At 40.1% G+C, this 26,150-nt stretch overlaps 1 protein-coding gene across 19 annotated transcripts in view; it reads left to right on the forward strand.

The window, feature by feature from the left end:
- Nucleotides 1,211-26,150, forward strand: part of NLGN4Y (neuroligin 4 Y-linked) — a 323,039-nt gene continuing 298,099 nt past the window's right edge. For 6 of the 19 annotated variants that reach the window (XM_011531428.2, XM_047442719.1, NM_001365590.1 and 3 more), the window contains exon 1: nt 3,124-3,531. The gene's annotated coding sequence lies outside the window, so the exon portion shown is untranslated. Of the gene's footprint in view, nt 2,168-2,340; nt 2,494-2,566; nt 2,880-3,123; nt 3,532-26,150 lie in introns of those variants that run through there. The other 13 variants (NM_001365586.1, NM_001365591.1, NM_001206850.2 and 10 more) reach the window with 6 other exon arrangements.

The following is a 26,150-nucleotide window of genomic DNA, read 5'->3' on the forward strand; positions in this document are numbered from 1 at the left end:
ATTCATGTCCATCATCTTCCCCATTATTGCTCATGTTGTCCAAAATCCTTCGCATCATCATGGAAGGCTTCATGCTTAGGTTTACTTCCTAAAGCAGAAGCAATTAGGAGAATGTCCTATGTGTTGTGGACATTATCTTTTTTCCTTCCATAAATGAATTAATGGGCAATGAAATAATTTTAAGAAAAGCTAACTTTTATAGCCAGGTAGAATAAAAGTAATCACCATGAAATATTGTGAAGATAAGCAGGCCCCACACACTAGCTCAGCTAATCAATATGACAATATTACATGGAGATTATCTGTTCCATTTTACAGATGCAGAAATGGAGGCGAATATTAAAATTCATTCCTAAGGTCACATGCAACTTAAACCCAAGCAATCTCATTTTAGAATCTGTGTTCATTGCCACAACATTCTATGATGTACTCTGATCTTTGCATTGCCAATTTAAATCCAACTTTCTTGAAGCCAACTTTAAATACTGGGAACTTTAAGCATTGTCAATTTCAAGCCAACTTTCTCCAACCCAATTTTAAATACAGGGGTCACACCCTCCTCCTCGCCCCCTGCAACTTGAAACTCCCTGGGAAAGATAACCTCCTGGACCTGGGAAATGAGGAGTATTTAGAAACAACTGCCTCTTGGTAAGCACACCTCCTATATTTTATCCAAATCATGAAATTATAACAATAGAAGTAAACAAAAAGCCTTCATTCATCCTCTTTCAACCATAACCTCGGCATAAAAAGCTCCTGTACTTTACAGAGCTGTATTCCAATTTTCGCTGCTCTTAAAATTTTTTTTAATATCATTGCTTCCCAATTGACTCACAATAACGCAGACATAGGGACTGCTGGAGACTGTGACCTTAAACAGTTAAAGATGTCTGCATATACGACATCATGTTTGGTGTGGAGAGTACCTAGAGATTCCTAAAAAAGCAAAGAGGAAGAAGGTTTGCTGTGCGCATCTGGGTACCCTGCTCTATCTCCAGGGTTCCCAGGATCTCTCTGTTACAGCTGGTTTGCACTGGGATTAGTTGCTCTTTGCATGAGGTTGTAGCTGTGGACGTGGGTTTTGTAGCGATTGGGACGACTCTGGAGATCTATTGGCTGCTGGGTTTGTAAATTTCATTCATTTTGGTCCAATGGCAGAAGGAGAGCGCCGGAAGCAGAAGGACCTCTCTCCCCTAGCTCTCTTTTTCTTGCAGAGACATCTTTCTCCCATCTCTGTCTGTTAGTACAGAGCTCTTATTCAGCCACTAGCTCGGCCTTTCCTGCTTCAATTGTAATGCTTGTTCTGCCCGGGGACACACTATTGACAGCAGAAACAATGAATTTCCTCCAAACCCGGCAATGTTGGTGGCTCTTGCATTCCTCTGGATGAGCGAATCTAGTTGGGGGGTTCCCGAAGGGGAAGGCGCCTGGGCTTTCAATACATCCTCCTGAATCATACTGCGTTTCAGGTTCCTTAGAAAAATTTGGATGTGTAAAAAGAACTCTTAACGGCGATGCAGGTCTTCCACAGCTAAGGTAGGTGCAGTTTTAAGACGTGTCTTTCGCATATTATTATCCTTATTTTAAAAAGCCGTTTAAACAATTTGACTTGCAGTGGCTCTCCAGCAAAGGAGGGAAAGCCTCACTGGCGATATTTGAGCTTCATTTCATCTAATATTTATTTATTTTTTCCTTTTATTATTATTATTATTGGACAATTTGGGCTGGACTCTCTCCCATCTGTCTCGCTCCATTTCTTTGGTGTGGATGGGAATGTGGACATCGATGTATGGCTTTTACATGCAATCTCTCCACAGGAACATTTGGTTTTATTTTCACTTAAAAATAAAAATGCAGACCACCAATGTTGTTTGGAAGCATTTTGCTGCAATCAGCTGTTTGAACAGCTCTGGGGCCATGTGCGGTGTGTTTAAAAAGTAGCGCTGCCTTCCATACAAATTAAAGGAAGACTGTGGCGGGGAAAGGAGGGGAAAAATATATATATATATACACACAGACATATATATGCGTATGTGTGAGTTTGTGAGTGTACACATACACACACACATATATATATGTACACACACACACATACATGCAGTACAGGGGAAAAGGAGGGAAAAGGCCAGGGCTGGAGATGGCGAAAGCAGGAGGACTTCTGCAAACTGTGAGCATGGAAGGCTTTTCTTCTCTTTTCTCCCCACTCCAAAGCCCTCGTCTTCTTTAAGAAAACCACCACTGCCTGGGGTGCTTCTTTTGGGAGGCTGGGGTTGGGGGTTGGTGCCATTAACCAGAGAGAAAAGGGGAAATAAAGCTTGGTTGGGGTTGCATTATGAGATTTTTTTTTCCCTTCCTTCATCTCCTGGCCTCGGATAAGATAAGGCTTGGGGGATGCACGAAATAATCCAAGTGATTGATTAGACCTGGCATGGCTTGGTTGGGCTGGAGAAAGATCGGGGCGCGCTGGAAACCCCGCGTGAAGATGAAATGACTGTAGCTCCGTGCTGCTCCTCCAAACTCGGGAGCGGTATCCATGCACCCCTTTCCCGTGTGTGTGGGTTACGACGTGGGTGGGAGTGGTGAGGCAAGCCGCAAAAGTGGGGTAGAGCTGGTGGTTTTGCTTCTTCGGAAGCCTTTGAGTGTGGCCTGGACCTTAGATGGGGGTGCAGGGCGGTTTGCCGCTGCCACCCTCGGCACCATCTCTGAACTGCCCGCTTTTCCGGAGGAGCGGAAAAGTTGGAAGCCGAAAAGACAGGCGCCCGGAGCCCTGGTCTAGGTATCAGGTGATCCGGAGCCCTAGTCGGTGCCCACTAAGAACACCCCTTCTCCCATCGGGGGTTCGGAGGAGTGTTAAGCCTGCGGGTCTGCCAGTCCCTAAGGTAGGGATGGGGGAGGGGTCTGAGGAATCCGTTCCAATAGGCACACCATCCCCACAGCCCTAGAAAAGGCAACCACCACCCGCTCCTTCCTCCCGCACCATCCCATCTCAAGGCTCTCTGCTGACCCGGGCCGATTTCATCTGGTCTCTTCTCCCCCGCTTCCCACCTCCCAATTCCCGCGCAGCTCGGCTCCGTTCCCTCCCACTCCCCTAGGCGGAACTGAAAGCGAAGATCAGCCAAGAGCACAGTCGGAGGCGGCAGAGACGGTGGCGGGTGAGCTAGGGGCTGTGAGACGAAGCAGGGAGAGAGTGAACTTCAGCCCCGTCCCCTCCCCACTGCCACGGCTGGGGCAACCCAACCCGCGCCTGAAGCGGCTTGGCTTGACCTGCGGAAGCGCGGGCCGGGATGGCGTGGGGAGAGGGAGGTAGGTGCCACTGGGCTGCAGATGACGAGTGGGTTGGGGGCTTGCTGTGGGACAAGAGGTTCAGGTTCCGGCCTGCGCCTTCCACTCCGCGGTGGCGCTCTCTGCCTGCGGTTTTCCAGGAGGCCGATCTACCCCAGGGACACTCTCATCCTTCAGGCGGTCTCCTGGACGCCCTTTCCTCCCCTTGCCTCCCAGCCTGACCTGGCTCTTTCGCCCCTCGGAGAACCGGTAGGTTGGGGTCCCTCGGCGGGGGTCTAGTGAGCCGAGTCGCGAGCTTTGCGCCCCCGGTATCTAGGCCCCGTGCCGCGCGCAAATCCGGGCCCAGGCGTACAGTTCTGGAGCCTAGTCGCCGCCAGACACAGGGCCCTTTGTACCCGGAGGAGCGGGAGCGGGAGCGGGGGCGTCAGGGCAACCCTTGCACCCCAGAGGCCTGCCTAGGACCACCCTGGGAACAAATGTCTCGCTCGGAAAACGAGGTGAACCCGGAGGATGTCCTACGCATCATACCCCTCCCCTTCTTGAGAAGGCTTTTTCTTTTTTTCTTTTTTTTTCCCGGTTTCCTTTTCTCTGGCTTCTTCCACACCTTACCGCAGGTGTGGGCCTCTTTTCATGTATGTGCGGCTGCTATCTCGGGGATGCAGGGGAAGGCGGTGTAGGAGGCAGCGTGGAAGGGTACTAGGAGGTGGCGGCGGGATTTTGGGCCTGGTGATGTGCCCGAGCTTGCAGCTAGCTGGGGCACTGGGCCCCCAAGTCACGAATTCAGCCCAGGGCTTGGGCGAGACTGCCCGGAGCAAGGACGGAGGATCCAGATTTACCATTTGGACCCAAATTAAGAAATTTGGGGTGGGGGTTGGGTAGGGGTTTTGAAACTAAGCAGGTGACGTCCTTGCGAGCTGAATCCACAAGGTGGTAGTATGGCTTATATTATTTTTATTTTATTATTTTATTTTATTTTTCTATTGTTCATTTTTTTTGTGTGTGGGGAGTGGGGGATGTTTTTTTCTCTGTGTACTCCAATCTTATGCTTTTTGAAGGCATCCATTGCCCGTAGGGTTTACATAAGACCGCGTTGCATTATATTTTCTTAAAAGTGGGGTGGTGTGCATAAGCTTCCATTTCAGAATCAGTCGCTCCTGTGATGTGAGGGAGGCAAAAGCAAAGAAAAGGAAAAATAAACAAAATAAGAAGTTTAGGGAGACTTCATTATCCCCACGAAGCCGGAATTGCCAGTTTGTGTGGTCGTTCTGCGGGCAACATAGAAGTGCGTGTTTCAGAAATCCTTGGATAGCTTCTTTCTTCTCCAACTAGAAATTAAATGGCCAGGGTGCAAACACCTGACTTTGATGAAAACAAAGTGGCAGAAACTACAAGAGACCTGATTGCTTTCAATGAACGCACTGAGCCTTTTCCTAGAGGATGGCAGAGCTGGGAGAAATCAGATCTCAAAGAAATCTACAGTTTTGTGAGGGCAGATTTGGAGAGTGGAGAATTATTTCATACCTTTAGTTGGCCCTGGTGAAGATGTTAGCAGTAATCCATCAAATCCTTAGCATAGATTTTCCTGTGGAAATGAGCAAAATGTTAAGGGGTTGGGGGATGGCTATATAGGAATTTCATGGAGACCTCTGCAAGGATGTATTTTCTCAGATTAGAAATCCGGTATTTTATTACACAATGCAATGAATGCATTCTACACACACATGCATTCCATATTTCTGTATGTGTGTCTGTGTGTGTGTGTGTGTGTGTGTGTATGTAGTCTTTTTAAAGAGTATCTTTGACATGTAAAAACATAATCAGGGCCATTGTAGGAAGTGGAAAATTACTTCATCAGTTTTAAATCAGTGGATTAAAATCGGAGGCTTGATTTTGTGTGTGTGTGTGTGTGTAACACTAGAATGATAATTGCATATTCATAATAATGTTTGTGCTTGGATACCATTTTAAAGTTGCTTTGATGTTTTCTGCTCTGGTGAAAGAATTTTTCTTTTCTTTGTGTTTTATTTAAATAAACTAATGCTTCATATACAGTAGGCCCTAAAACCAGTAACCTAGCTGATTTTTACCCAAACCTAAGAATATAACAGATACTTGGTAAGGGACTAGTGGCTGCATAAGGTAGATAATTATGTTATCTTGATGCTGTAAAATTTACAAGCAGACTTGAAGGAATTTGAAAGTTCACAGTTTTGGGCCTGGAATGTAGACTAATGGTAAGCATACAGATTTGTTTTTAATTTGTGAATTTGGCTTTTTCATTTTTGTGTGTGTAGTAATTTGTGGAAAGCTTATAGTCTCTCCACAAAGACAGGAGCTTTTGACTGACTCGCCATCAGAGAATTGCTTTCACAAGTGCAGGGGTCTCTTTAAAATCTCTTTGGAATACTGTGCTTTTATTTCTACACCACAAAAAAGGATCTCACAAAAGTAAACATTCAAGTGCATGACCGAATGACCTTTTTTAAACATTCTTTCATTTTAATTGGTACTCCACACTTCAAACCTTTCCTAAAACTTTGAATATTGTCAATAATGCAAGTTGCTGAGCGAATATTGTGAATATTGCATTCAAATGAAGTAGCAATATAAAAATATTTTAAGTCATTTAATGTCCTCCTTCTGAAGACAGGCGTATGTGGTTAAAATATACTTAAATTCCAAATATGGTGAGAGCCGGTCTTAGGATGTGAATGTCAAGTTTAAGCAACACAATTTTAGTTTGTAAACCAGAATGTATTCTTTCTATACTACTTTCTGATTTTTAACAATATGTATTCTATTCCTAAATGGGAAAAATATGTTCAGTTGAGTTCAAATCCATTGCTGTTTTTTGTTTTTGTCTGAGTACTACACTTTTTCAGAGGAGAGTCTTCATCTCCTACTTAATTATGTGAATGGATTTTCAGACAGACTGTGCCTTCTGTATAGCCACCTTTTATTTCTTAAACCCCTGAGCTACAAGTTTTAAATCAAAGATACAGCTTTTGCCCAGTCATTTAGAGAAAGTGAGAATGGAAATTGAAGCCCAGGCCATTGAGGCAATTAGGTCATCTGCTGTGCCCTCTGCTACCATTCAGTCAATGAATATTTTACAGTTTCATCATTTTAATCTAAACAACCTACATTTGGACTTTGAAAGGCTCCACTGTTTTTTGTTAAGTGAATGGCAGTGTAGGAAACCCTTCCTCATTTTTCTTGGGGCAGAGTGGCACACATGAATGAGAAAAAAAGAAGGCGATACCTCCTAGCAGTTTGTCATTGTGACATTCATAGGCTTTGAATAAATGTGTAGATGAAAAGGCCTTCTCTCTGCAGGTGATTACATGAAATAAAAAATAAGTAAATAAAAGGCTCATAAAAACACTACAGGAGTGGAAGGTTGATGGTGGAAAACAGCCTATCTACCTTGGGTTGAGATTTCAAACTTTAGACATTTTGTGTTGAGTTCACATGTCCCTGATGTATGGGGAACACCTCCATATACCACATCTTCCCAAGGCATGCTCATCTTCCCAGAAATGGTACCTGAAGGAGAGCAGGCCTAACCCCAACAATATTTTTAAAAACTCTCTCTATATATGTAACTATATATATAGAGTAAAATCTGTATCTTACTGTATATTATATATATATAGTAATATATATTTTAATAAGGTTTGTATTTATAAAGGAAAGAAGTTTAAATGACTCGCAGTTCAGCATGGCTGGAGAGGCCTCAAGAAACTTACAATTATGGGAAACGGGAAGCAAACACATCCTTCACAGGATGGCAGGAAGGAGATGAATGAGAACCAAGTGATTCATGGAAAGCCCCTTATAAAACGATCAGATCTTGTGAGAACTTACTATCATGAGAATGGCATGGAGGAAACTGCCCCTGTGATTCAATTATCTCCCACCACGTCCCTCCCATGACACATGGGGATTGTGGAGCCGCAATTCAAGATGAGGTTTGGGTGGGGACACAGTCAAATCATATCATGAGGTTTTATTATTTAAGACAGGAAAAGAGTAATCGTCCATACTTTAGACGGGAGATGAAGTACAGTGAACATTCATAGTCCCATTGGTTGAAGAATACATTTCGAAGAGAGAAATGTTAATTTCATTATATTGCTAATGAAATGATCTAGGCTTTCACTGCTCTCTGGAAATGTGGAGAAGTGGCCCAGGATCTTGTTTGGGTTGTTCTATTTAAAATGTACATTACATAAAGAAATCATGATTTGTCAAAGTAACAGAGTGGTATTTTTGGCTTACAATGGGACTTTCTTAGCTCCACCTGTTAATATCGATGATCATTTTGGTTTTAAGAGGCCAGTATCTGATTGGATGATGAAAACCTGGATCTCAAAGCCATCACCCCAGACATGTGATTTTATTAACATCTGTGGGCATGTCTCCTGGCTCCCACATCAACCCTTCATCCAGGCTCATTTTCTCTGTTTTTGTTTGGTTGTTTGTATGCTTTGGGTGGGGAAAGGGGACACATATTTTGCTAAGGGCACCTTTTTCAGTCATGAAACGTAGCCTGTCAATAAGCTGAAAAGGAACTTGAGTTGTTTCAAGTTGCATTAGGTAGTAAGTTTTTGGATCCTTTAAAAAAAAAAAGGACTGAGGTTACTAAAAGTGTTATTGGCACTGATAAAAGAGCCATGGTGACTTGTGGTTTGTTTTCACAAGGTGTGGAAAAGGCCTCCTTGGTTCTTTGATGATGGCTGTAGTGAAGTTGCATGCGGTGCCATTTTCCATGTTTAGTATTTCAACAACACCAATATGTGGCTCTGGAGTATGGGACGGGCAATTCCAAGAACTCAGTGAGGCATGCCATGTGACTCCAATGGTCAGTCAGAGCTGTTCAGCATGGAACTATGGTCCCAAAAGCATGGGGGATGGGGGCAGAAGAAACTCATTGCAACTGAGTGTCTTTAACTTGTTCCAGTCCTCACTACTCTCTGTGAATATAACTCTGTGAGTGGGTTAGGTGAGGAAACTCACAAAAGTAAATGCGTGTTTTCACAAACAAATTTTATCATTGTTAACTGTTTTCCTAAGTGAGACAATATGCCCTCATGCCCTGAAGCTACACTGTAAGAATGGCAGTATGTATGAGCAGGTGTATACACATACATGTGCACATATGCCAACACACTAACTAGGAACTAGTCCTTGCAGAAAATGTTTTTCTCAGCCATTCTAACACACTAGATAAAAGCAAGTATGTGTGTGTGTGTATATATATACACACACATATGTACATACATGTATAAACACATATATGTACATATATATATATATATATATATATCTGAAGGAAAAATATCATTTTTCATTAGTTACTTTCCTTTTTTTATTCCCATCATTCACCAAACCTATGTTATATTAAACAATCCATAACACCTGGCCTGGACAATAGAGTGAGACCCTAACTCCACAAAGAAACAAAAATTAAAAACAAAGTAGCTGGCACTAGGCAAGTACCTGTGGTTCCAACTGAGGTGGGAGGATCACTTGAACATAGGAGTTCATGGCTGCAGTGAGCTATAATTACACCACTGTACTCCAGCCTGAGAGACAGAGCAAGACCCTATCTCTAAAAAATATATATAAATAAAACATAAAAAATAAAAATAGAAAATTTACAATGAAAGGTGTAAAGTTACCTATGATGGGCCTGGGTGTAATCTTCATTTAGGAGTGAATATATTCATTAAAGTGAGACCTAAGTAGTATAAAGTATGTGTTTAGGGACAGGTGCCCATTTTCTCTAGGTCTCCTGGAATATTTTTTTTCTAAATTGAGTTCTGATTCCAAAAAAGGTGTTATTGCCTATGCTTATGGTGAAACTATATGTGTGACAAAATGCTACTCTGTCTTGTCCATCAATATTGTGCAATGTGGTATTCTTTCATGGAGCAATTGACAACTTTTACAGTGATCAAACTGGGCACTCTTTACTAAGGCTAAATTCATAACCCTTTTATCTGACTTTGTAGAAGATTCTCACCTTTATTTCTCTCGGTGCCCAAAGGCTGGCCTGAGAGACTGTTCCCATTGAAGCCTTACAGAAAGCTTGTAGAGCATTGTAACAGCCCAGCTTCAGAAACCCAGCATTGACTTTCAATAAATATGAAGGAGTTTGAAGTCACAAATGTTGAGAACCTCATTATAGTCTCTTTATGAACTTGAGTCCCTCTCTTCCTGCAGACTTCCTTTGAACTCAAATTTAATGTGCACTACTTATTCACCCTTGTACTTATGGAAAAGCATTGACAATCCCAGGTAATAACTAGAGAAGAAGTGAGTGAATGCTAGAGGGTTTCTCATTTAGGTTGTTCACTCACCACTGTGCACAGGCTCTTTAGAAATCTACTTACACATGATGAGACTGTAAGCAGACTTATGTTTCTGAAGCATCAGTATACAGGTGTGCAGAAAGAAATGGGCTAGGTCACTTAACAGCTACGAGTATAACTAAGATGGACAAAATAGTTTTATTTGCAGATTATATCTATAGAGCCTTCATCATCTATATCTATATCTATATATAAAATAGGGTGCATATAAACATACACAGATCATAGATTATTCATTTCAGTTTCTACATACAATATGTAATTTATATACAATTGCATTTATGTGCATTTATATAATAGTATTTGTATACAACTTCTATACTTGAATAAAACTGTCATCTTCAATAGCTGTTTAATATATATTTATTTCTAGATAGTTGTATTTATGTACATTTACATAATTGTATTTATATACAGTTTATATTACTGATGAAAGCCTTTATCACTTGCAAACTTACTTATACAAAATACAATTTATCTAAACATAAAATGTATTATATAAATATAAGTTATATATTAATATATAGCATATACAATAAGTCATAAATATATAATAAAAATGTGTTTTGTATACTTATTTATTATATATTGAGTATAACTCATTTAAATACAATTTTTATATTATATAATGTATTATATATTGTGTAATAAATATAATTTATATATTGCTATTATATATACCTATTGTATATAAGATATAATAAAATCCATCTAAATCTATAATAAAATATGTATATATTTATGTTCTGTATATGTATTTTTCTTGCTTTTTATGTATTAAAAATACATACAAACTATATATGTAGTATACTGCAAACTATATATATAGACATGCATTTTCCAAAAGAAACTGTGTTATAGGTGGTGAGTGAACTTCTAGGCTGATTCACAGGAGCTATGGTTACTATGCGTAGTGGTCCATGGAAACTACAACTTTACTTTCAAGTGGAGCATAAGAGCTATAAATGACTGTAATATGATAGCAAGCACATCATGGCACTCTGTGAATCCTGAGAAATCGACCTTTCGTGTGTTTTGTGAACCAGTCAGGAAAGCTCATTTGAGTGGGAGGATGTGTCAAGCCATGTGTCTCTCCCACCGAGATGGATAGACAACATCTGCTTATAGACTGAGAAACTACCTGAGGTTGTGTGGAAGTCATGACAAATTGGCAATGTCCTCAGTGTGTTCGGGGTGGGAGGTGGTGATGTCCCTGGACCTATGCTTAGCTTTTATCCCTCTGTGGGACCAATTCTGTTGGCAAAATCACTTCTGTGGTCTTGCTCCAGATGAAAAATCAACATGGAAGGCTTAGGGGTTTAGTGCTCTAGTTAATGGCAAGAAAGAAAATCAGTGACTAAGATCAATTTATCCTTTTGTGCAAAACAGCTTTTTTATTGGAGGAGCTAGGTCTTATATAGAGCTAGCTCTTATATAGAGCAGGAGCTAGCTCTTATATAGAGCCACCTAGTATGTTCTTTCATTTGTCATTTTTATTGATCATCTACTATATGCCAGATACAGGCCAGAAAGCAAATTCTGAGCTGGTAATGGAGAGGCAAAATAGGCCATCCCTGTACTCTAAAAAATCCTGCCTATGTGTGGATGTTCACAAGAACGTTGTTAAGATTTTTAGTTCAGGTATGGATTACTTTCTTTCATTTTTGTTGTATACATTACATTTTTTTTCTTTCATCCTCATACCTCTCTCCTTCCCTTCCTTCCTTCTTCCCTTACTTCCCTCCCTCCTTCCTTCTTTTTCTCTATTTTCCTTCCTTTTTTTCTCTCCCTCCTTCCCTCCCTCCATCCTTCTTTCCTTCCTTCCTTCCTTCTTTCCTTCCTTTCTTCTTCCCTCTTTCCTTTATGCTATTTGGATGAGTGATAAAATCTCAAGGGTCCTTAAAATATTAAAGGGAAAATGAAGATAATTCTATTGAAGAACAGATCAAATAGGAAAGAGTAATGAAAAGAAAGCTTCCTGGAATGAGAAATTAGCATGTTCTTTACAATTTAATAGAATTTTTCATATACTATATTTGTATAGCTGGTTAGATTTTAAAACTTTGTCAAACCCTACATTTATAAAACCTTAGTTTTCATTTTAGTAAGTTATATGGATGAATGCACACATAAAGCAGATTACCTTGATTCAACAAAAACATTCAAATATTAGTGATCCTTTTTTTTTAACATATGGTAGTGGAAACAGCTTGATTAATTTATGGCTATTTCCTACATACTTTTTAAAATCAATAAGCAACAGTCAGATATTTCAGCATTTTTAAGGCATGAACAGTACCTTGAATTGTAATATATTTTAGTCTAAAACATCTGGTAACATCACAGGTAATTGCTTCAAACTCTACTGCCGCTCATATAATTTACTTTTTTCATCAATTTAAGGTCTTTTAGAGTCATGAGAGGACCTTTAAAATAGATAACATCACTCATACTATTGAGCTAGGATTGCTTAAAGATGGAGCATAGATTACATTGTCTCAGAGGAAAATATTTTATGAAGATTCTTTTTTTTGTGTGTGTGTTCTTGGATACATGTGCAGAATGTGCAGGTTTGTGATAGAGTTATACATGTGCCATGGTGGTTTGCTGGACCTATCAACCAGCCATCTAGGTTTTAAGCCCCACATGCATTATGTATTTGTCCTAGAGCTTTGCCTCCCCCTTTCTCCCACCCTGCACCAGGCCCCAGTGTGTGAAATTCACCTCCCTGTGTCCCTGTATTCCCATTGTTCAGATTGGACTTATATGAGAACATGTGGTGCTGGTTTTCGGTTCCTCTGTTAGTTTGCTGAGAATGATGGTTTCCAGCTTCATCACGTTCATGGAAAGGACATGAACTCATTCTTTTTCATGGCTGCTTAGTATTCCATGGTGTATTTGTGCCACATTTTTTTCTATCCAGTCTATCACTGATGGTCATTTAGTTTGGTTCCAAGTCTTTGCTATTGTAAACAGTGCTGCAGTAACCATACATGTGTATGCGTCTTTATAGTAGAATGATTTATAATCCTTTAGGTATATACGCAGTAATGGGATGGCTGAGTCATATGGTATTTATGGTTCTAGATCCCTGAGGAATCTCCACACACTCTTCTGCAATGGTTGAACTGATTCATAGCCAACAAACATGTGAAAAAAAGCTCATCATCACTGGTCATTAGAGAAATGCAAATGATTCTTTAAAAAGTATAAGAACTCCCGAATCAGGTATTCTATCTTGAAGAGGCTCCCTGGTCCAATATTTCTGGAAAACCTCATGTATCATTTGCCTCTCTTGAATTTTACCCTGAAGACAGACACATTATGGCCTTAAAGCCTCCTATACTAATGGATTTAGCAGGCATACCAAATAACTTAAGGTTGGTTCTTTGTAATGAATTTTAATCAAATTAACTACCTAACAGTATTCAGAATACTTCCATTGACACAGAGCAGAAAGAAGTGCCAACAGGATATGAAGTATCTTTAAATTACCAAAATAATTTGGAGAAATGAACTTGTTGATTTTTTCTTTATTTTATTTACTTATTCAAAACTTGTTGAGTGCCAAGAAGTGGGATAAAAATACAATGAAATTGTTTATTTTTCCTATATTAACGATAGGCTAATATTATTTTGCACCTCTGGTCTTACTGGTCTTATGTTTGAGAACAAATAAGTTTTATCTGAATATTTTATCTCTCGTGTGTGTGTGTGTGTGTGTGTGTGTGTGTGTGTGTGTTTAATCTCTCATGTCCTGTCAAAAATTAAGAAAAAGAACAGTTTGATTCAGTCTTCACACATCTTTCTTAAACAGTTAAAGGCAAAATCATCAGAGCTACATGGCCCAAATATTAGCAGGTAGGTTCATGTTTGAATTCTCAGAGGGTGATTATGTAGTTCAATTTTAACTCCTTCAACAGACAGACTACTATCGTTGATGAGCAAGGAGACAAAAGTATTTGATAAACATTATGTAGTTAATATTATCCTTGAGGGAGGGGAGAAGGCTGCCTGTCTTAGGTAATGCTTTCGATGGCAGGTTTGTCCTAGGCTTGAGGTAGCAGGCTTGCTCTTTTGGCTGAAGAAGCCCTAACATGCATACCAGTATTGCAAATTTACCCACATGCCAATTGTATGCTGTGGAAAGAAATGAATAATGTAGATCCCATTACAGAGAATGATGTGGAACAGATAGACTTAATGCATCAGAACCAGTGAGCAGTAGACAAGACATTTAGAAAATAACAACAGCAGTGAAAACAAATATAAACAAACCACAAACAAAACCATTACATTTGGGTTTCTGGTTGCCTGTTACCTCAGAGGGTTCTGGTTACAAGCTAAAATGTCTTGACCATTAGGAAGGTCAAGACAAGGCCCTTAATGCTGTGTAAAACAGTAACAAACAGTAAGGGTGACCCAGGGAGAAAGGGTAACAAGTTACATTGAAGTTAAATACCAGGGAGAAAGTGTAGCAGTTACATGGAAATTAAATACCAGTTACCTGTGCAGAGACTGAAAATACAAAGCAGACACAGGAACGGTAGTAGTAGAAGGCCTAGGGCAAGGGATTGGCGGGGCGGGGGTTGGGGGGATGGGGCGGGAATCTGAATTTGATCTGAATTTGTTGCAGCTTGAAATTGCAGCTTGAAACTAGCCAGCCAACTCTAATGAGGGCATTGATATGGGAAAAACACTACCTCAGAAAAAAAATCTGACAACCTAGGTAGAGATCAAATGGTACCATATTCTGAGGATGGAATAATAATTCACACATGGCTTCACATAAAATTTGTGTGACAATGGTTATTTACTATGATTCAGTCTGCCATGACAATTTTACCAGTAAAATAACTTTCTAGGATTTATTTGATATCAGTTAATAAGCCTACCTTAAATGAATAACCAGAATATGACAATTGAAAATTAATGTAAAATTACACAAATAGTTATGTGTCTAGATATTTCACAATCAAATGTATGTGGGCATTTAATCTAGTCAGATCCAAATAATAAAAAATTCTTTCTTTCTAGACCAACATTTATCTTGATATTATACATACATATGTAAATTACAACCACATATTTGCATATGTAAATTACACAGCAATTTACACATAGATACATACATAGCTCACTTTTTGTTGGTGAACACATTTTCCTGAAGGTTTTTTTTTTTTTTTTTTTTTTTTTTTTTGAGATGGAGTCTCGCTCTTTCACCGAGGCTGGAGTGCAGTGGTGCTATCTCGGCTCACTGCAAGCTCCGCCTCCCGGGTTCATGCCATTCTCCTGCCTCAGCCTCCTGAGTAGCTGGGACTACAGGCGCCCACCACCGCGCCCGGCTAATTTTTTTGTATTTTTAGCAGAGACGGGGTTTCACCACGTTAGCCAGGATGGTCTCGATCTCCTGACCTCGTGATCCGCCTGCCTCGGCCTCCCAAAGTGCTGGGATTACAGGCGTGAGCCACCGCACCCAGCCGAAGGTTTTTAAAATAATAATTATTCTACCTGTAATGCCATAGCAGTATTGGTAAAAAGTTCAAATGTGGCTGGGTGGAGTGCCTCATTCCTGTAATTCTAGCATTTTGGAAGGCCAACACAGGAGCATTACTTGAGTCCAGCACTTTGAGAGCAGCCTGGAAAACCCTATATGTACAGAAAATAAAAAAAAAATAAAAAATAGAGTAAGCCAGGTGTGGGTGGTGCATGTCTGTATCCCTGCTACTCAGGAGGCTGAGGTATAAGGATCACTTGAGGAGTTTATCAGTAGTTTGAGGCTGCAGTAGGCTATGACCTCACCACTGCATTGCAACCTGGGCAACAGACTGACACCCTGTCTTTTAAAAAGAATTCAATTGCATCATTTATGTGGACAGATTTGACTGGTGTCATTCTGTTGCTGAATCATTCCAAGGTATGCACTTACCTTTTCTCTCTTGAAACAGCTTATGCAAAAACAAACAACTAAATAGAGAAGCAGTTTGCAAAACTATATTTAAAGGTAAACCATACTCCCTCACCCCCAACTCCACAAAAATAGTTTTATGTAGAGAAACCACAGATGGTGCAGCCCCCAAATCTGGAGCATCCTCAGGTACCTTGGGGTATTCTGGAGTGAAAGACTAAATCTCAGAGGCTTTTGGTCACACTTGGGTAGGCATCCTGATTGGCTAGTGAAGAAACAGCTGTCCCTGCTGTGGTCAGTTTCAGCCTTTCCTGGAAGGGAATTTTCCAGCATTGGGTGTTCCTGTAGATGCTTATAGCAAGTTATGTTCAATGAAGCCAACTGCATCCTGATTTATCTGTTATTCAATCTGTGCTGCATAATAAAAAAGGTCTGCTTTGAAAATGAAATCATGCACTTTGCTTTATTTTGCCCATTTGATATTTCTTCTAATGTTGTAAGCTTCTCATGAATTGGCATAAGCAGATATGTTACAAATTGATCCATCCAGGACATCCTTGCTAGTCTTAGCTCACCATAGCAAGTCAGAATGGAAGACAGTTGCTTCTCCTCCCTTCCTCTCCCCATCCCACCTCACATCTGACATCCTTCTCCTCTGAGGAAAAATAATCCTCTGTTCAAATTTAAAAGCATGGCCTGGTATGATGGCTCATGTCTGTAATCTCAGCACTTTGAGAAGCCAAGGCGAGCAGATCACTGGAGGTCAGGTATTCAGTCAGTGATACACTCTCTATACTAAAAATATGCAAATTAGCCAGGTGTGGTGTCATGCACCTGTAGTCCCATCTACTTGGGAGGCTGAGGCAGGAGACTTGCTTGCACCTGGGAGGTAGAGGTTACAGTGGGCTAATATCATGCCACTGGACTCCAGCCTAGGCAACAGAGTGAGTCTCTGAAAAAAAGAAAAAAATATAGAAAAATGTTCAAGTATTTACTGTCCACATCTTTCAGCTATTTAACACTTCACTGGGATTGTGAAGTGAAATGGAGTGCCATTATTACCTTGTTAGCCACTTTCAATTTGGAAAGGTAAAAATGTCCTTCAATGGCTATTGAACTGCCTGCACTGAATTTAAAGTACAGTTTGTTGGAATATTCGTGATGAAGTTGAAAAATAGAATTACAGATTATTAGGACTTGAATGTACTTGAGGAATCATTTGTATTCCCTCATGTACACAAGGAAATGGAGTCACAGAAAGTTTCAGGGATTTATCCCCATACTTTTAAACACTGAAATGTTCCCAAAATGAAATGAAATACTTCCAATTGTTAACATATCCGCTTATGTCAATTCATGACAAGCTTACAAAATTAGAAGAAACATCAAATGGGCAAAATAATGTGAAGTGCATGATTTCATTTTCAAAACAGACTTTTTTATTATGCAGCAGAGATCGAATAAGAGATAAATCATTTTGATGAAAGGAACAATGAGAGAAAGCAAAGAAAGACATGTCCTGCATTAAAAGCTGCATTTGATGGTAACTCATTTTGTTTTATGAGTTATGATGAATGCATCTTAGCTGTTTCTAACCTCCCTCCCATTCCCTATTTTTATTTGTCAGTTAAAGCACAGCATTTTTCCCTTTTTTTTTGAAGTGTTAATTAATTGCATTTGTTTAATGCATCTTGCTGTGTCTCAAGCATGGTTAACAAGGGATAATGCCTTTTTTCAGGGATGATTCCTTCCTTTCCTTACGGGGCTTTGTCTGTGATGGGAACTTTGTGTTTTATTTATTTATTTTCTTTTTAAGAGACAGGGTCTAATCAGGTTGCACAGGCTGGTCTCAAACTCCTGGGCTCAAGGGATCCTTCTGACTGACCTCTTGAAACATTGGGATTACAGGCGTGAGCCACCGCACTTGGCTCTATCTTTCTGCAAAAACCTAGCAATTCTAATTCTCTCTCCATCTATGTCTAGACCAGGGAGATATAATCAAGAGAAAAGAAACAACTACCTTCATTAGATTAAGAGTCAAAAGGGCCTACAGGCAAAAAGACTCCAGGACCCTCTTGAGTGAGCCTGTGCATTGAAATCTTCAGCTTCATAGAGACACAGAAGTCCAAATAGGAAGTTGGATTTGCCCTATTTTCTTAGCCTCTTCTAGTCTGTGACCGTTTCTTAGTCTTTCCTTGTTTTTCATGACCTTAATAGTTTTTTGGTATTAATATTATGGAGAATGTCCACCACCTGGGGTCTGTCTGATGTTTTAGACAGGGATATGTGTTTTGGGGAGGAAATCTGCAGAGATGAATCAATCATTTATATCACTATGGGCACATGGATGTTTTGGATATGCTTTAGGTTTTAATTCAACACTACACTACTGTGACTTGCTCTACTTTATATTCTTTGTGGCCATGATGAGACACTAAAACATCTATTCACTTGAATAGCAAGTAAATGAGAGGACTCAATGGCAAATGACTGTTATGCTTTAACATATCCAGTTCTTTGTATATTTTTTGACATTTAGGTTATTTTAATGCCTTTGCTCCTCTAAGGTATTTCCTTCTTCTTTTTTTTTTTTTTTTGCTCCACACCCCTCCCTCCTCTAACTTGTTTCCAAATTCTTCCTTGTAAATTGTGCATTCCTCATTCTAGGGGCATTACTTATTTTCTTTTGCTTGCTTCAAAAAACACTCTGCATTGGTCTGTACACATTTTCCCTCTTATATCCTTTCTGTAAGCATTTGTATTCAGTTGAAATCTTATGGAATACTTTACCACAGAAAATTTCTGGTGTATACCAAAAAAGGGAATGAAAATAGAATAATGGATCCCATTTGCCCATCATTTGCTTCAGCAATTATAAATGCATAGCATAATCTTTAGTATTTAACCTCATTTATGTTTCCATTCTTATTATGGCATGATGCAATTTATTTAAAGATAGTTTGGTGAGAACCATTCACTCCCCTGGAAAGGAGGCTGAAGCCCAAAAGTCAAAGTGGTGTGGCTCGGTGGGTCCCATCCCCACTGAGTCCGGCAAGCCAAGATCCACTGGCTTGAAATCTCGCTGCCAGCACAGCAGTCTTAGGTCAACCTGGGACACTCCAGCTTGGTGTGTGTGTGTGTGTGTGTGTGTGGTGGGGGGGCGGGGGGGGCACATCCACCATTGCCAAGGCTTGAGTTGGCAGTTTTACCCCCACAGTTGTAAAGAAAGCCGCCTGGCAGTTCAAACTGGTCAGAGCTCTCCACAGCTCATCAAGGCCACTGTGGCAAGACTGCCCCTCTAGATTCTTCTTCTCTGGTCAGGGCATCTCTAAAAAAAAGGCAGCAGCTCAGTCAGGCACATATAGTTAAAACCCCTATCTCCCTGGGACAGAGCAACTGGGGGAAAGGGCAGCTGTGGGTGCAGCTTCAGCAGACTTAAACGTCCCTCCCTGATGGCTCTGAAGAGAGCAAAGGATCTCCCAGCACAGTGTTCAAGCTCTGCTAAGGGTCAGACTGCCTCCTCAAATGGGTCTCTGAAACTTGTGTATCCTGACTGGGACACACCACCCAGCGGGGGCCAACGGACACCTCATACAGGAGAGCTCTTGCTGGCATCTGGCTGGTGCCCCTCTGGGACAAAACTTTTAGAGGAAGGAGCAGGCAGCAATCTTTGCTGCTCTGCAGCCTCCACTGGTGATACCAAGGCAAACAGGGTGTGGGATGAACCTGGAGCAATCTCCAGCAGAACTGCAGCAGAGGGGCCTGTTAGAATGAGAACTAACAAACAGAAAGGAATAGCACATCCACTCAGAGGCCCCATCTGAAGGTCACCAACATCAAAAAACAAAGGTAGATGAATCCATGAAGATGGAGAGAAACCAGTGTAAAAGGCTGAAAATTCCAAAAACCAGAATGCCTCTCCTCCTCCAAAGGATCACAACTCCTCACAAGCAAGGGAACAAAACTGGATGGAGAATGAGTTTGATGAATTGACAGAAGTGGGCTTCAGAACGTGGGTAATAGCAAATTCCTCTGAGCTAAAGAAGCATGTTCTAACCCAATGCCAGGAAGCTAAGAACCTTGAAGAAAGGTTAGATGAATTTCTAACTAGAATAACCAGATTAGAGAAGAACATAAATGACCTGATGGAGCTGAAAAACACAGCATGAGAACTTCATGAAGCTTACACAAATATCAATAGCTGAATTGATCAAGTGGAAGAAAGGATATCAGAGACTGAAGATCAACTCAATGAAATAAAGCAAGAAGATAAGATTAGAGAAAAAAGAATGAAAAGCAACGAACAAAGCCTCCAAGAAATGTGGGACTTTGTGAAAAGACCAAATTTAAGTTGAAGTGGTGTACCTGAAAGTGACGGGGAGAATGGAACCAAGTTGAAAAACACTCTTCAGGATGTTATCAAGGAGAACTTCCCCAACCTAGCAAGGCAAGCCAACATTAAAATTCAGGATATACAGACAACACCACAAAGATACTTCTCCAGAAGAGCAACACCAAGATACATAATCATCAGATTCACAAAGGTTGAAATGAAGGAAAAAATGTTATGGGCAGCCAGAGAGAAAGGTCATGTTACCCACAAAGGGAAGCCTGTAAGGCTAATAGCACATCTCTCTTCAGAAACACTGCAAGCCAGAAGAGAGTGGGGGCCAGTATTCAACATTCTTAAAGAAAAGAATTTTCAACCCAGAATTTCATATCTAGCCAAACTAAGCTTCATAAGGGAAGGAGAAATACAATCCTTTACAGACAAGCAAATGCTGAGAGATTTTGTCACTATCAGGCCTGCGTTACTGGTGCTCCTGAAGGAATCAGTAAATATGGAAAGAACAACTGGTACCAGTCACTGCAAAAACATATCAAATTGTAAAGACCATTGACACTATGAAGAAACTGCATCAAATAATGTGCAAAATAACCAGCTAGCATCATAATAACAGGATCAAATTCATACATAACAATATTAACCTTAAATGTAAATGGGCTAAAAGCTCCAATCAAAAGGCACAGACTGGCAAATAGGCTAAAGCGTTAACACTCATTGGTGAGCTCTATTCAGGAGACTCATCTCATGCAAAGACATACATAGGCCCAAAGTAAAGGGATGGAGGAATATTTACCAAGCAAATGGAAAGCAAAATAAAAAAGCAGGGGTTGCAATCCTAGTCTCTGATAAAACTCACTTTAAATCAACAAAGATCTAGAGACTAGGACATTACATAATGGTAAAGGGATCAATGCAAGAAGAAGAGCTAACTATCCTAAATACATATGCCCCTAGTACAGGAGCACACAGATTCATAAAACAAGTTCTTAGAGACCTACAATGAGACTTAGAATGCCACACAGTAATAGTGGGAGACTTTAACACCCCACTGTCAATATTAGACTGAACAATGAGACAGAAAATTAGCAAGGATATTCAGGACTTGAACTCCGCTCTGGATCAAGTTAGATCAAGTGGACCTAACAGACATCTATAGAAGTCTACATCTCAAATCAACAGAATATACATTCCTCTCAGCACTTCATCTCAATTCTTCTAAAATTGACCACATAATTGGAAGCAAAGCACTCCTCAGCAAATGCAAATGAATGGAAGTCATAACAAACAGTCTCTCAGACTGCAGTGCAATCAAATTAGAACTCAGGATTATAAATCATTCTACTATAAAGACACATGCACACATATATGTATTGCGGCACTATTCACAATAGCACAGGCTTGGAACCAACCCAAATGCCCATCAGTGATAGACTAGATAAAGAAAATGTGGCACATGTACACCATAGAATACTACACAGCCATAAAAAGGATGAGTTCATGTCCTTTGCAGGGACTTGGGTGAAGCCGGAAGCCATCATTCTTAGCAAACTAACAAAGGGACAGAAAACCAAACACCACATGTTCCCACTCATAAGTGCAAGTTGAACAATGAGAACACATGGACACAGGGAGGGGAACATCACATACCAGGGCCTGTGGTGGGGGTGGGGGGCAAGGATACTATTAAGAGAAATACCTCATCTAGATGACTAGATGACGAGCTAATGGATGCAGCAAACCACTATGTCATGTATATACCTATGTAACAAACCTGCACGTTCTGCATATGTACCCCAGAATGTAGAGTATACATAAAAAAGATCTTTCAGTACATTGCTGTAAAATATAGGAACCATTTTATTTTATTTAGCTGCAGAATCTTTTCCATGCCTAAAATTATCAACAATAATTCCTCTATGTCACCAACTATCAAATTATAAATGTCAAAATAATATTTTCATAGTTTGCTAACTCACACAAGGTCTATGCACTACAATCAGTTGATTTGTCTTTTACATTTCTTTTAACTGATATAGATTTCTTATCCTTTTATGCACATTCTTGTTGGAAAAAACTGCTCTTTTTACTCTACATGAAAATGGGTTTTAGAGTCGGAAAATTTAGCTGTCAAGTTATTTTAGAAGGAACGTGAGTATTTTCCATAATGCTCAGTCTTAGGTTACCAACTCCTTAGGAGCAAATGCTGTGTGACTTGGTAGTGATCTACCCAGAAGGAATGCTGCTGGGTAAATTTGGCCAGCTTGTGTGACAGCTCTTTGGACTCACTATGTCTCAGTTTCATCTACTTTTAACAGTGTTTTATTTTGAAGATAGTTTCTGACTCTGTCACCCATGCTGGAGTGCAGTGATGCAATCATAGCTCGATGCAGCCTTGAACTTCTGGGCTCTAGAAGTCTTCCCACATCAGCCTCATATTATCTAGTACCTGGCAGAGATACAGATCTGATGAGAAACAAAGATAAAGGGGTGTCAGAAGGTAGCTTTTGCTGCATCATCAGACACGCACACATGCGCACACACACGTGCATGCATACACACATGTGTACGCACACACAATCAACTGCAATTTTTTCCTCTTTACCAACCCACAGTTAGCTGAAATTATCATTAGGGTATTTCTAGGTTATATGTGCACACACAACCTACTTAAGTTCTGAGCTCAATATTCTGTTTTATTCTTTCCTGTTCAGAAGCCAGCATCCATAGCTCTGGGTCTCATTATTTGCTTTTTGTCGTCCAGTTGTGCTCTACTGATTTAAAAGTTATCTTTACATTTTCAGTTTCCCAGTCAATTCAAGCCAAAGCATATTTATTGGGCATCTACCATGTGCTATGGACTGTGAGAGACTTAAAGATTAATAACAACAACCATAAAAACTCATTGATATGCTGGGCATTATTTCTCTCCCCATGGCCTCCAAATGCTTGGCCCATAATTCAAAACACTACAGCAACTTGAAGGCAGCAGATTGTTTCTCATTTCAGGGATCCACAGGTTTATGCCTTCTCAAACAAAGGTCTGGTAATTCCAGGCTGCATGCAGCTATTCTTCCTTTAAAGACTGAGAAACCATGCATACAACATCTTTTCTTCCTTCTTCGTTTATACAATTGATAATTACATATTGACATCTTACTTTGAGAAAGTCGTCATACTGGATACCGTCAGTCATAGAAACAGAGATAAGATTCAACCTCTGATCCCAAGGAAGGCAGACTCTTAGTAAGGAAGTCAAAACAATAAATGAAAATGCCCATACTGCAAGGCATGCACATCATACATTCCATAAGTGGGTAAAAACATGCCTTGGCAGCACAGAATCTTGCTTTCCATTTGTGTCATTGAGGACAGTGCATTAGTTATCTATTGCTGCATAAAAAATTCCTCTAAACTTTAGGTTAAAACCGCAAACATTTTTTTTTCCTCGTGCAATTTTCTTTTTTTTTTTTTTATTATACTTTAAGTTTTAGGGTACATTTGCACATTGTGCAGGTTAGTTACATATGTATACATGTGCCATGCTGGTGCACTGCACCCACTAACTCCTCATCTAGCATTAGGTATATCTCCCGATGCTATCCCTCCCCCTTCCCCCCACCCCACAACAGTCCCCAGAGTGTGATATTCCCCTTCCTGTGTACATGTGATCTCACTGTTCAATTCCCACCTATGAGTGAGAATATGCGGTGTTTGGTTTTTTGTTCTTGCGATAGTTTACTGAGAATGATGATTTCCAATTTCATCCATGTCGCTACAAAGGACATGAACTCATCGTTTTTTATGGCTGCATAGTATTCCATGGTGTATATGTGCCACAGTTTCTTAATCCAGTCTATCATTGTTGGACATTTGGGTTGGTTCCAAGTCTTTGCTATTGTGAATAATGCCACAATAAACATACCTGTGCATGTGTCTTTATAGCAGCATGATTTATAGTCCTTTGGGTATATACCCAGTAATGAGATGGCTGGGTCGAATGGTATTTCCAGTTCTAGATCCCTGAGGAATCACCACACTGACTTCCACAATGGTTGAACTAGTTTACAGTCCCACCAACAGTGTAAAAGTGTTCCTATTTCTCCACATCCTCTCCAGCACCTGTTGTTTCCTGACTTTTTAATGATTGCCATTCTATCTGGTGTGAGATGTTATCTCATTGTGGTTTTGATTTGCATTTCTCTGATGGCCAGTGATGATGAGCATTTTTTCATGTGTTTTTTGGCTGCATAAATGTCTTCTTTTGAGAAGTGTCTGTTCGTGTCCTTCGCCCACTTTTTGATGGGGTTGTTTGTTTTTTTCTTGTCAATTTGTTTGAGTTCATTGTAGATTCGGATATTAGCCCTTTGTCAGATGAGTAGGTTGCAAAAATTTTCTCCCATTTTGTAGGTTGCCTGTTCACTCTGATGGTAGTTTCTTTGGCTGTGCAGAAGTTCTTTCGTTTAATTAGATCCCATTTGTCAATTTTGGCTTTTGTTCCCATTGTTTTCAGTGTTTTAGACATGAAGTCCTTGAGCCTATGTACTGAATGGTATGGCCTAGGATTTCTTCTAGGGTTTTTATGGTTTTAGGTCTAACATTTAGGTCTTTAATCCATCTTGAATTAATTTTTGTATAAGGTATAAGGAAGGGATCTAATTTCAGCTTTCTACATATGGCTAGCCAGTTTTCCCAGCACCATTTATTAAATAGGGAATCCTTTCCCCTTTTCTTGTGTTTGTCAGGTTTGTCAAAGATCAGATAGTTGTATATATGCGGCATTATTTCTGACGGCTCTGTTCTGTTCCATTGGTTTATATCTCTGTTTTGGTACCAGTACCATGCTGTTTTGGTTACTGTAGCCTTGTAGTATAGTTTGAAGTCAGGTAGCATGATGTCTGCAGCTTTGTTCTTTTGGCTTAGGATTGACTAGGCAATGCAGGGTCTTTTTTGGTTCCATATGAACTTTAAAGTAGTTTTTTCCAACTCTGTGAAGAAAGTCATTGGTAGCTTGATGGGGATGGCATTGAATCTATAAATTACCTTGGACAGTATGGCCATTTTCACGATATTGATTCTTCCTACCCATGAGCATGGAATGTTCTTCCATTTGTTTATATCCTCTTTTATTTCATTGAGCAGTGGTTTGTAGTTCTCCTTGAAGAGGTCATTCACATCCCTTGTAAGTTGGATTCCTAGGTATTTTATTCTCTTTGAAGCTATTGTGAATGGGAGTTCATTCATGATTTGGCTCTCTGTTTGTCTGTTATTGGTATAAGAATGCTTTTGATTTTTGCACAGTGATTTTGTATCCTGAGACATTGCTGAAGTTGCCTATGAGTTTAAGGAGATTTTGGGCTGAGGATGATGGCGTTTTCTAGATATACAATCATGTCATCTGCAAACAGGAACAATTTGACTTCCTCTTTTCCTAATCGGATACCTTTTATTTCCTTCTCCTGCCTAATTGCCCTGGCCAGGACTTCCAACACTATGTTCAGTAGGAGTGATGAGAGAGGGCATCCCAGTCTTGTGCCAGTTTCCAAAGGGAATGCTTCCAGTTTTTGCCCATTCAGTATGATATTGGCTGTGGGTTTGTCATAGATATCTCTTATTATTTTGAGATAGGTCCCATCAACACCTAATTTATTGAGAGTTTTTAGCGTGAAGAGTTGTTGAATTTTGTCAAAGGCTTTTTCTGCATCTATTGAGATAATCGTGTGGTTTTTGTCTTTGGCTTTAAAACTGCAAACATTTATTATCTCATACATTTCTGTTCTTCAGGGATTCAGGAGCAATGTAGCTGGCCAGTTCTAGCTCAGGATCTCTCATCATTTTGTAATGAAATTGTAGACAGGGCTTGCAGTTTTATGATGGTGTGAGAGAATCTCACTTATGTGTGCTGGGCAGGAGGCTTCAGTTCTTGGCCACATTGGCTTCTCCCTAGGGCTATACATGAGACCTTAACAGCTGGCTTTTCTGAAAGTGAGGAGAGAAAGAAGGAGGCTAAAAGGGAGTCTAATATGAAAGCCACACACTCTTAGAACTTGATCTTGGAGGTGACACCTTGTCGCTTTTGCACTAGATTTGGAGGTGAAACCTTGTAACCCCAGAAGGTGTTAATTGTAGGTGTCAATTGGCCATCTTGGAAGCTAGACTATCACAGAAGCTCTTCCAAAGGAGGTAGCTTAGGAGCTGCATAGAATTTTGTCATAAGGACAAAGGAGAAACTGTGAAC

Source organism: Homo sapiens, chromosome Y, assembly GCF_000001405.40.
Source record: "Homo sapiens chromosome Y, GRCh38.p14 Primary Assembly".
In the NCBI taxonomy this organism is placed as follows: domain Eukaryota; kingdom Metazoa; phylum Chordata; class Mammalia; order Primates; family Hominidae; genus Homo; species Homo sapiens.